Below are 12,322 nucleotides of genomic sequence, written 5' to 3'. Positions count from 1 at the left end.
TTTACCTCTGCTCAATTTCATGGCCTCTGGGTGAAAGATGGGCTTCAGGTATGAGCAAGGGTGAAGGTGGGTTCTTCAACTAAACTCCAAATACAGAACACCAGTGACAGCTATGGAGTCTCCAGTTCCCTCACTAGGTAACCACCTGTTAGAAATGTCTTAGCTACAAATAACAAAACTCAACTCAAAGTGGCTTAATATTTATAACATTTATTATCTCTCATGACAAAATTTCATAGGTAAGTCAATCACCAGGCATCACATAAATGAAGTCAAAACTCTGCTTCTCTAAGATCCTCCAGGCTCATCCTTCCTCTGAATGTTAGCTTCGTACTCAGGCAGAGAGCAAGATGGCTGCCACAAATCCAGGCGTCATATCTGGTACAACAGTGTCTACAGGAGGAAGAGCGGACGCTCTATGTTTCTCTGAGGAGCAAAGAAACTCTTCCCAGAATCCCTCAGCACTTCTCCAGCCAAGATTGTATTGAACAGAGTTAGATCACATACCTATGCTTAACAAATCACTGGTAAGGGGTTAGGACCACCATAATCGGTTTAAACCAGCCAGGACTCTGGAATTGCCAGGGCTGAAAGTTGGAGCTGGGGCCTGCCCACCCCAAAGAATATCATCACATGGAGAAGTGGGGAATGCCTGAGCAAAATCAGGGTCCTATTAGGAAGGAAGAAAGATGTGCCAGAAAAGATGTGAGGTAACCAACGGTATCTGCTAAGTAGGTAATCTCTCTAAAATATGAACTTCTCTTAGGGATGGTCCATTCTAATCATTATTGATAAAAGAATACTCATATTAACAGAGCTATGCCCCCTCTTTAGGAATAAGTATTACTGCGCTGTGGCACATTGGGCTATTTGCTTCTCTGTTGGAAGCCCGGTGCCATTAAAAGGAGCTGAAGGTTTTACTTATCTTTTCTTTCTTACTGGAGAAATAACACTGCATATGATTGCATTTTGTATTCAATTTACTCCTCCCATAAATATTTGATTTTACTCTGAGGAGTAAAAAAGGAGGCCGTCATTATTTTATATAAGCCTAATTCCCACACACACAAGTCTGTAAACCCTTCAAGGGAAAGAAAAGACAGTGTCTTTTTCATATTTATATAGCCTATAGAATTCAGTTCAGTAAATAAATGATAAGCTGAATTATTAATCTCATTAATTCTTTCCAGGCCTAACATAAATCTTCATGACAGTGAGAATTAAGGCTCCAAGCTAGGTAGGCCTGTGTGCATTAGCAAAGATCCTTGGACTTTAAGATACTCTCCTCTCCACAATTCCAATTCCAAATATCACCCAGATACAGAAACTTTCAGGATGGAATTTCTGCTGTTTATAGCCATGGAGTTGGCTGCAGTGGGAAAAAAATTACAGTCCCTAAGGCAGACAAGCATTATTTGGAAAAATTCAGACCTTGATCAGATCTTACCAATCCATGTCCTTTCAGCTTCTCCCACCTAGATGGGACCTCATTTCTAAGAATTAGTAGGCTGAAAAATCCTTTGGTAGGGTATATCAAAACTTCAATATGTTCAGACAGATGTACATACAAATAGTAACTTTAAATGAAAGTCTCTATATGATTTGATATTTCTCCTCTTTCTTTCTGCTATCCTGTTGCCTTATTTAATCTCCCCAGTTAAGAGCTTTGGGTTTTTTCCCCCTTTCCTATGACACAGTGTATTTGCTGACTATCCTGACTCATGCCCTTTGGTTCTGATTCCTCCACTGTTAATTCTTATCTCTCTATTCTGACCCCAGCCTCGAAGTTTGTTATGTCTGAGAAGTCCTTAGATACCATGGTTACCCAAAGGGTCAAACTGACTCTCCCCAAAACTGAACATTGCTGACTCATGGGATGCCACAGGGATTGTAATAGCCACAGCTGAAATTGCTGTCCAAACAAAGATGCTTAGATAATAGCAGCTATTTTCAAAACCCTGTTACAAATCAATTCGCTACCCTTTATTAAAAGATATTCAATATGGTATTCATGCTGGGAATCAGGTAAGATGGTATTTCCTGAACTGATTTATACAATACTAACATTTTTCAGGTAAAAGAAGGAAAATATTGAGAGAGTAAAAAGCCAGACAAAAATCTTCAGTCTTAAGGTCATTTTCATTGTCTAATTGTCCCAATGTGTTACAAAATGCTAATCTGAATGTCTGAGAAGTAATTTTTTTAATTTCAATAGTTTTGGGGGTACAGGTGGTTTTTTGTTACATCGATATGTTCTTTAGTGATGATTTCTCAGATTTGAGTGCATCCATCACCCAAGAAGTGTACGCTGTACCTCATATGTAGTCTTTTATCCCTCACCCATCTTCCATCCTTTCCCCCCAAGTCCCCAAAGTCCATTATGTCATTCTATGCCTTTACGTCCTCATAGCTTAGCTCCCACTTATAAGTGAAAACATACGATATTTGGTTTTTCATTCCTGAGTTACTTCACTTAGAATAATGGCCTCCAGCTCCATCCAAGTTGCTGCAAAAGACATGATTTCATCTCTTTTTATGGCTGAGTAGTATTCCATGTTTTACATATACCTCATTTTCTTTATCCACTTGTTGGTCAATGGGCACTTAGGTTAATTTCATATCTTTGCAACTGAGAATAATGCTGCTACAAAACTGTGTGTGCATGTGTCTTTTTCATACAATGATTTCTTTTCATCTGGGTAGATACCCAGTAGTGGGATTGCTGGATCGAATGGTACATCTACTTTTAGTTCTTTAAGGCATCTCTCTACTATTTTTCAAAGTGGTTGTACTAATTTACATTTCCAACAGCAGCGTAAAAGTGTTTGAGAAGGGAGCAATTTAAATCAAGATCTATGTATTTCTACCTAGAATAATGGTTAAATATAATATATGCACTGAACTAAATATTTCAATAGGGCTTTCTAGCTTATAAAGCAACTTTACCTGTATTACTTCATTTGATTCTTATGACAGCCCGATGGAGTGTACACTAATGCTATTCCCATCTTAAATGTGAATAAAGTCAGACTCTAAGACGTTTTGTGCCTTTTCTGAGTTTATAAAACCAGCTGGTAAAAGGAAGAGCCAAAACTAAAATCTAGCTTCTTGACTCACTCTTTCCACAGCCCACATTGCCAATATATATTCAAGACAAAAGATAAATATAGTCCTCAGTTCCTAAACAAACTCAGCGAAAATTGGAAGCCAACAGGTTGCAATTCAGGTGTTTCTTCTTGATATAAAGCCTGTGGCTTTGCCTTACAATCTGTTTTTCTTTGGTTCAGTAGAACATAATGATAACGTTTCTTTGAGGAGCAACTGGAAGAATCTAATGAATGGGCAATATTCCCAAGGGGACTTGGAATGTACAATGTGCTGATGGTTGGCTGAGTGACAACAAGGAATAGTCTCCTGAAGTTGTTAAAGCACTCAATTTTCCCCTGATTTTCATTATTTATACATGCACTGAAGCCCTAATTATTTGAATCATCCTCTAAATCAAAAGTGTGATACCTCGTTAAGCATAGGGTGGTCTGATGTCCCTTTTAAAAGCACCCCTTAAGGTCATTCTGCTCTATTATCTCCAGTTTATAAGATGAAAGTAGTTTCCACTACCCTTGGCATTCTGCCAGAAACGTTGCCCACTTTTATTCTTCCAGCAACTTCTATTAGAGCCTGAGTTAGGCTCCATTCAAACAGTCTTCCTGCCAAGAACAAGACAGCAACTATGATTTCCAAGTCCTATCCAATGATGTGTTTCTAACAAACAATGCAATGTTGCTTGCATTTGAGGTTTTATCTACTGGGGTATGTAACTAGCCCTTCTTGATGGGATAGGAAAAAACTCAATAATAAGGTCTCACACATTCACAGAGGTCTGAAACCCCACTGAAAATTTAATATGTAGAATTATAAGAGATGGGGTTTGTAAATCTGATTTTTTTGGTTTTTAACACAATTCTGCATTCTTCTGAACCAACATAGCAAATATATCAAGCTCATAACGCCATGGTGAACTGAAAGGGAATTGTTCAGAGTGATTGTAAGGAAAATGTAGTGCTTAATCACAGCTATCATAGGTCATCTGAGGGGAAAATGTGGTTTTAAAAAATTACTGAAAATGCATTCCTAGGCTTTATTATAGAGTTGAATGTGGCAGTCAGGGAAAGGAGTGGGGAACTGACTCAGGTATGACAGACACTATTCTGTCCAACTCATCTGCCATGACAAGAAAATGTATTTAACTTAGTGTAGGAAAAAAATACAAGTTCAACATACAAAAGCTTTCGTTGATTCATGATTCAGCTATGATGATACCATCTAAAGGACAATAACCAGTCTTTCCTACTAGCAGGAATCTTTACTTGGGTGTGGTAAAATAACATTATCCACTTTGGCTACATGATCAGATCTTAGAGACTATTTTAATTGTGTTATAGTTTGGGAGGTAAAATAAATGAATATAGGAATGAAAATAAGGCTTGCCTTTATAATAAAAATATTATTGTGGCTAAAAACAATTTATTTCTGGGCAAGTCTAACTTATCACATAGGATTTTCAAAAGGTAATCATGTTTAACCTGACATTAGTTTCATATACCAGTAATCCTTTAGTTTATTGATATAAAAAGTATGTAGTGATCATTAAGAAAATTGCCAACTCAGGGGAGAAATCTGTCTTATCAAAGAAATATGTATATTTGTTAGTGTGCCAATATACGTATGTAGAGGAAAAGTATTTGCGCCTTTCAACCTTCATTCATTCTTTTATTCTTTGAAATATTTTTTGATTTCCTACCATGTGCCAAGTATTGTTCTAAGTGCTAGAGATAAACAGACAAAAATCTTAACCCTCACAAAATTAGCGTTTATTCCAATGGGAAGAGACAGACAATAAACCAAGTGAAATACTTAGTATGACAAAATTCAAAGATTTCTAATTTAAAAAATTGTCAAATATTTAATAAACAAGAATTTAAAAATTTGCAGTTCTGAATAGACTGCAAATTTTATATCAGTGTAATCCCAGAACCTAATACAGTGCTGGGCTCATATGCATTCAAATATTTCAAAAAAAATTTGTTGAGTGACTGAATGAACTAATGAACACAGTTTATGGGCTCTGTAAATAGCCCTGACTGTGTATCTCAATTCCATGCCACGTTTTCTTTTTGTACTTGCTTACTTTTAAAACAGGTTTGAAGTAATTTACAAATAAAAGGTAAAGAATGTGGCCCAAGCAATAAAAGAAGAAATATAGTCCTGGCATATGGCTTTTCTTTTGTATTTTAATAGAGGGCTTGAACATAGTAGGTAATCAATAGCTTAAGTGAAAGTTTATTTGATAGCAGTTTATCAAAGGATATGTACATATTTTCACATGACCTTTTAAAAAGTATGCTATTGCTGAGATGGGCAGGTCCAAATGTGATTTTAGAAGAAAAGGAAAAAAAAACCTGACCCAATAAAGTACTTCTATGGGCACTAGAGTAATAATAGTCCAATGCGTGTGGCTTTCTTTAAAGTTCCAAGAATAGAACTTAATATAAAGTAGACTGTCAATAAATGTTGACATAACACCCTCAGATAAAGTTGATCCTTAGATTATTTCTATAGCATGGTAGTAAGACCGTGTAATTAGCAGAAGAGAGGATGTTCTTTTTTTTTTGCTTTGTAGAGTTAAAGCATCCTATGGTGTGCTTCCCACCAGAGGAGTTCAGCATCTCAATAACCCTTGATGAAATAATGGCTCTTATCAATTTCTTCATCTGAGTGCACAGCTTTCAGGAATCCACACAGGTGGGTGAGAGAAGATACCAGTTGCCTAGCCGGTCACATCAGCCAAATCAAGGCTAACAATCCATGGATGTGCATCATACTAAAGAGGCAATGTAGTGTCAGGCAAAACTGAATCCCAGTCTCAGTTCTAGTAATTATTTAACCTAGTTAGAAAAAATCAAGGCAGCAATATGTTGTAAATGAAATAATACTATTTTCAAGTCATCAGAGTGCCAGGTACATGAGCTCAATAATATTTGGAATTATTGCTGTTGAATGTAGATAACATCTGGGATATTTTGGAGGCTTGGTTTTTGAGCTATCAGCAGGAAGAAAATGTAGGAAAATCATATGATGGGGTGAAAAACAGGCTACATGAGATTTGAAGTATCATCTAGACAGGATCTTTAGATAGAATCATCATCTCAAAAAGGGGGTAAGGTGTTACTTACACAGAGGAGAACAATTGAGAAGTTCTAGATGGTGAAAAATGATGTTACACAGGATGGCTTATAAGCTAGAGTCATGCTGGTCTACGTAAGCCAGATCAGCAGGAACTAAGTAAGGCTTGTATGACATTCTGCCTCTTCAACCCTAAGTGTTTGAAGAAATTCAAGAGATTGTGTTCAATGAGCAGCCAGTACAACTCGATTTCTTTTTTGAGAAAAGTCTTAATGTTAACATGGTAAGAAAGAAAAACACTTGCCCATGTCTTACGGGTAATGGGAAATATGATGGGACAAGTATGGGCATTCTTCTCAGCAAGAAGCCCTTCCTTTAAATCATTCCTTTTTCCATTCTTCCCCTACCCTCCCTTCCTTCCATCTTCCCTTCCTCTCCTTTCTTCTATTTTCTCTTTTCTTTCCTACCTCATTTTATAAGGGTCTAACATGGAGTGATTTCTTCATTGTTATTTGCCATTGGATTCTGGATAAGCCAGGTGCTGAAAAATGTTGTTCAGGTTTTAGTTTGGCTGGATTAGACCTGATGTATTTTTCATTCTCCCTTTCCATATCTCCTAATGTAAAAAAAAAAAAAAAAAAAAAAAAAGCAGCATTCATATGAAAAAATATATGGGTCATCAAGACAAGCTCTCCCATTGGAGAACAGGAAACTGGACTTGTGATGACTGTGAATGAACTCTCTGAGAACCAAATGAAACTCACAGAAATAGAAACCAGATGTAAGCAATCATGAATCCAGGGCACTAATCTGCCTCCAGTTTATTTTTAGCAGAAATATTATTGAAGTCTTTTCAGTACATAATTAATTTTCAAGGATTGCCATTAACCTCATAGTATGAGATGGGACAAGAAAATTTTTGCATGTAAGGTTTGAGTGGAAAATAATGATTTTTAAGTAGTTTGCTATGTGTTTGGTGAGGTAGGGTGTTCTATGGTTTTTAGTTTTCTCAGTTTGACCTAGGAGTAATGACTCTCCCAGCCAAACATAATCCATCTTTAGATAATAGTGGCTGTTTATATATTTAGGATGTGTCAACCTCCTCAAGGCTGGGAAGTATCAAGGCCTAATATAATATTTGGCTTTCATGTTCTGGGTGTGCAACAAGAGGACCAACAGTCTTGTTAGCTAAAATCAACCCAAAGTATTAGAGTTTGGACATGAACTTGGCCTGCCCATGCCAGAGGGAATACAAGTACCTTCTTTCAGGCTCCGAATGAAATCATTAATTATGTCAGCAGTTCCAGCGATAGACCTGGAGACACTTTGCACTACTTAGCAAACAAGCTACCTTCTCAACTGTTTAGAAGTCTGGGGAAGATCTTAAAAATCTGTACTCACTATACTTACACAGCCCTTTCCCTGCATATCCTCAAACTTTCCTTGATCCTGTGTCTCTTTGGTTTTACCACACCAGGGTTGGAATGAGATGAGGGAAATAATGCGGTTGTGATGGCCAGACTGTGTATTATAGATCTGAAAGTACACCCTGGTGCACCTCGACAATGAAACTTTTTTTAAGACGTGGGTTTTTTGGAACCATATCAACCACACTGGAGCTCCTGCTCCATTTAAGGCCATCATAGGTCTTTTAAAGAGTAATTTAACTGTTACAGACATGTACTTTTTTGCCTATTAAGAACAGCTTTACAAAGAATGTGACCTGTGTTTACAGGACAAAAACCTTTTTTTATCCTTTCCACAAAAAGCGGCTTCCTTTTTTTAACCATTAGAAGCACCTTGGCAATTCTCTGTGTAATTAACAGCTTAGCAGGATGGAAAGTAAAAGAGCAAAGTGCAACAGAATTGTGCTAAGGTCAGTTGAAATTTTTTTAAGCATAAAGTACTCCCACATAATAATTGATCTCAATATATCATGATGCAGCAAGAGTCCACGTTCATTCCCCACGCCCCCTTATTTACCTGTCCCTGGGAAGAGAAGCACAAATGAAGTGAGGAGAGAAATAGCTTCAGGAAAGCTTATAATACCATGCATTCAGCACATGGAGATGTTTTTGAGGCTGAAAGGGACCCGGGATGCCCCCCAAATCTACCATGGCTTTTTTTTTTTTTAATATGCTCTAGCAAAGTTTTCCAGCAACAGATCAAAAAGCTTTGTATATGGATTTTGGAAAAGACGTCTAAAATAATTAAAAATATACTTTCATCTCTCAAAAGTGAGGAGAACTGCAATTCAATTTGATTCCACAGATCTCTTTGGAGGACCTGCTCTGGGCTCACAGCAGTGTTGGGCACATGGGGAAAGTGATCACAACACAAACAAGAGACTCATGAGGTGCTTATTTGTTTGTTTGGGTTTTAGCTCATGATCAGTTCCACCAGTTGAATGCTTTCCTTTTAAAAGCAAGGGGGGAAAAGGTCTAGCATCTTCAACAGAACAACTGGTAGAATGCTTTCTCCCTAACAAATGTGATGAATTTAATTGATCAAATAATGAGATCTTTAAAATCTAATAAGAAGCTGTTGGAGAAAACTTTCTTTTAAAAAACAATAAGGAAACTGAAGAAAATTAGATTGAACTTTAAAGGGAAAACTCTCAATCAGTATCACTATGGGAGACAGGAAAATGTGAAGCCACAGAGAGGGTAAAAACAAAACAAAAAAGCACCCTAAGTTGTACAAGCAGATAAAGTATAAGAGAATGAAATCTATTTATATTACTATATATTCTTTTCTTTCATAGAAAGGAGGTCTAAGAGATGCACAGAAGGCCAGCTACCAAAGAGTCACGGAACAAAACTAAACTCCCACATTTCAAAATAATAATACAATATTACGATGATGGTTTATTTCTTGCTTTTCAAAACCTGGGTACACATTCAAATCTTATTTCCTTAATTTTTGTAAATAGAGAGAAGGAAAGTAAAATACATTATATCGATTTTATTGACTTGGGAAAACATTTAGAAGAATTTATAGAAATATTTCATTTTCCCCACGGACAATGTTTATACTTAGACCCAGAAGCTGAGAGAGGAAAAAAGCTATTAAAAATTATTGAATCCTAATATTTTCTATTGAATGTCAAATATTCTAAAAGTTATTTATAAGTACGCCCACACACACCCTTTTGTTAATTTGCCACACCACAATTAGAAGGAAGGGTAAAAGCAGCAATCTGATATCTTGTACAGAAATAAGTAAAAGATTCTCTTATGTGTTGGATGTTTATTAAATATATTCCCATAAATAAAGGTGTGTAATACAAATGAGTTATAAATGTTTATAATATTTTGCAGTCTTTTGTAGTATTTGAGGTAATTCGTTATTCAGTTGAAGATGAGATCTCTATCCAAGTTAAGTAAGGAGAAAATTGCCAGGATAAATTAAGAGACAAAAAAGTAAAATGTGGAGATAATTTAATTGCCTTAAACATGTATAGAAGCTTACCTTTGTAAATGTTTTTTCATAAGAATATGTCACAAGAACTGGGCAAAACTGTACCTACAAGGAAACTCCCATAGCATTTGTTTTCTCCTTTGCTAGGAGTGGCGATCAGACACACTGCTCAGGACAATGGTGATTAATGAAGTCGCCCCACTGAACAATATGCTACAAAGGGCTTCACCACTCCTAGAGAAGAAACTGTCCAATTTTCCTGAGATACCGGACAATCTCCTGGCAGCAGTTTCCCCACTCAATGAAAGCAGGTGTTGGGGACATCCCACATGGTGCAAATGCTGGTGGATGCTTTTAACAAACAGAAGCCTAACAAGATCATCAACTTGCTTCTCTCTCTTTAGAGAACAGAACCTTAGCAAAGGAAAAGGAGAGAGGCTACTAAAATGGATGGACGTTTCTTAAAGCATGTGAAACGTTGCCTGAGTGGGGAAAGACACGTTCAGGAAGGAACTAAAAGGAAACCCACAATTTGGAATCGGGAGATTTTTCCGTCTATCTCTGGAATTCGGCCTCTGTGCAAGAGCGCGTCCTGGAGTTGTGCAAACACACGTCCAGCCTCGTGTCGGGCGCACACCGGCTGGATCGCTGGCAGGCTGGGGCTCTGGGGCGTTGCGGCCCCTGGGGTAGGGGGGTCTGTGCCTCACCAGGACAGCCCGAGGACGCACATCAACGAGCCTTAACCACCATGGACAGCTCACTGGCTTCCCCCAGCCAGCTCTGCGCAATTTACAAACTCCATAGGAGCCACCAGCTAGATTGATTTTTATGCCCTGGAGAGATGCCACGTGTTCCATGGCCCACGGTCTACACCCCCAACCCCCACCCTGCGATCGCCAACTGTAACCACTGAGCAGTTATATATAGACAGAGCGGGCTTCGGGGATTAATAATCTTCTCCTTGCCCTCAATTCCGTCCTTTAAGATGCCACCGGATTCCAAGAATCAGACGGAGGGAGTTGGCAGACAGAACTTCGTTCCACGTCCGTTCATATCCTCTCCTCTCCCGCGCCGCACCTCACCCGGCCTTGACTTTGCAGATCGCTTTAAGTGAAATAAAACAGACGGGTCCCGGGGCTCCGGCAGGGCCGAGCTTTACGGGCGCAGGGGAGGCGCGCTGGGAGAGAGCGAGTCGGGGCTCCCGGAGGAAGGGAGTCGCCCCTCCACACCCCGACGCGGCCCCGGACAGGGCCAGGCCAGGGAGGGGGTACGTCTGCCTCATCCTTCTCTCCCCGCGCCCCCACGGGGAAGTCAGCGTCACCGTCTGCCTAGGGCTTATCTCATGTTTGAGTCATAAATTGACCTGGAGGGAGAGGGGAGGGGAGGAAGAGCCCTGCTCAGAGGAAGTTCGCGCGCTCCCTCCGACCCTGTCCTTGGGTCTCGGGGTTCCCGAAGTTTTCCCTTACCCGCAGCCAGATACGGGGCTCTCCCGGGAGGAGGGGGGCGCGCAGGACCAGAGACTCCGAGTATACTCGGGTTAGAAACCAAGCACCCAAGCCGGCGGGACAGGGCGGGGCAGAACGCAAAGACCTCAATAATACCGCTCCGGGCAAGAAGGATTCTGTGCGGCAGTCCGGAGTCCAGACTCTTAGGGACTGAAGCCCGAGGAGAACCTAGGGGAAGTAGTAGCTAGATCCGCTCACGGGCCCCGAGACCCCCGAAGTTCCCATGGAGCCTAAGATCCCCAGGAGCCAAGCCTGCCCCGTCCCTGCGGATCAGCTTCCTAATGGGCGACCCAAGTCTATCGCAGGCGGTGGGGATGAGGACGCTGGGTGGGAGGAGGGGAGGGGAGGCTGAAAAAGATCATCCCCCTTGCCCTAAGGCCTCTCCCAAGACCCTGGACCCCTGCCCTAAGAGACTCAGGCCTCCCTTGCTGCAGTGGGAGCGCAAACACCAGGGCAGGAGACTCCAGAGAAGGAGCGCATAACTCAACGTTTGCTCTCCTGAAGCCTTATTTCTGATAAAAATTACAGAAAAGTTAGGCAGGATCCAAAGACACCGTAATGACCAGCTCAAAGCCAAACAGACAGGACATCCAGTGCGGGTGTCTGGATAGGTATCCTTCCTGCCGGAGAGTTTAGACATCTCAGTCCGGGTGCTGCCCTGGGAAGGGACTTCGAGGCCAGCGTGGCACGGGCAGAGAATGGTGTTAGGGAGGTAAAATGCTTGCGGGGGCAGCCCCTTTTAGGCAGCCCCCGGCTCAAAATTTAAGAAAGGACCATTCGGTTCATGTGGGGAACTGGGCTGCTGCCAGGAGGGCCCTGTGATGCCACCGGAGATTGACTTCAGGTTGAGAGGTTGTCGCCTGAGCCAGGTGGGGCTTGGAACTCTCTCTGTGGCCTCGTACAAGTCCAGAGCTGCCTACTTTCAGGAGCCAAAAACTTGGCCAGCCAAGGGCAGGCATCTGGCTGGCTGGCACCAGTCCAGGAGATCAGGACTGGGACACTGCACATTCATATTCTCTCTCTCTCTCTCTCTCTCTCTCTCTCACACACACACACACACACACACACACACACACACAGAGACATATCTGAAGAAGACTCTTCAGATATGTTTCAATTGTCAGGAGTTTGCGAGGTGCTCAAGTGCTTGACCTTTAAGAACCGGTTCTCAGAGACCCCCATTTCCTAAAGACCTTCTCATCTCACATTGGTTT

At 40.6% G+C, this 12,322-nt stretch overlaps 4 annotated features.

Annotated features, from left to right (window-relative positions):
• Positions 1,657 to 1,826: an enhancer, noted in NCBI's record as "experimental_27218 CRE fragment used in MPRA reporter constructs". NCBI's record gives its function as "activates a minimal promoter by MPRAs in K562 erythroleukemia cells, with activity observed for both the introgressed and non-introgressed 12:28137473 variant alleles {active_cell/tissue: K562}" and the evidence as "EXISTENCE:reporter gene assay evidence [ECO:0000049][PMID:34662402]".
• Positions 3,141 to 3,310: an enhancer, noted in NCBI's record as "experimental_27213 CRE fragment used in MPRA reporter constructs". NCBI's record gives its function as "activates a minimal promoter by MPRAs in K562 erythroleukemia cells, with activity observed for the introgressed 12:28135989 variant allele {active_cell/tissue: K562}" and the evidence as "EXISTENCE:reporter gene assay evidence [ECO:0000049][PMID:34662402]".
• Positions 9,787 to 10,475: an enhancer, noted in NCBI's record as "H3K4me1 hESC enhancer chr12:28128739-28129427 (GRCh37/hg19 assembly coordinates)". NCBI's record gives its function as "activates a minimal SCP1, AML or CMV promoter by ChIP-STARR-seq in primed H9 embryonic stem cells {active_cell/tissue: H9 hESC(primed)}" and the evidence as "EXISTENCE:reporter gene assay evidence [ECO:0000049][PMID:30033119]".
• Positions 10,476 to 11,164: an enhancer, noted in NCBI's record as "H3K4me1 hESC enhancer chr12:28128050-28128738 (GRCh37/hg19 assembly coordinates)". NCBI's record gives its function as "activates a minimal SCP1, AML or CMV promoter by ChIP-STARR-seq in primed H9 embryonic stem cells {active_cell/tissue: H9 hESC(primed)}" and the evidence as "EXISTENCE:reporter gene assay evidence [ECO:0000049][PMID:30033119]".

Source organism: Homo sapiens, chromosome 12 (assembly GCF_000001405.40).
Source record: "Homo sapiens chromosome 12, GRCh38.p14 Primary Assembly".
NCBI lineage: Eukaryota > Metazoa > Chordata > Mammalia > Primates > Hominidae > Homo > Homo sapiens.
This window is presented reverse-complemented; position numbering and strand designations above follow the sequence as displayed.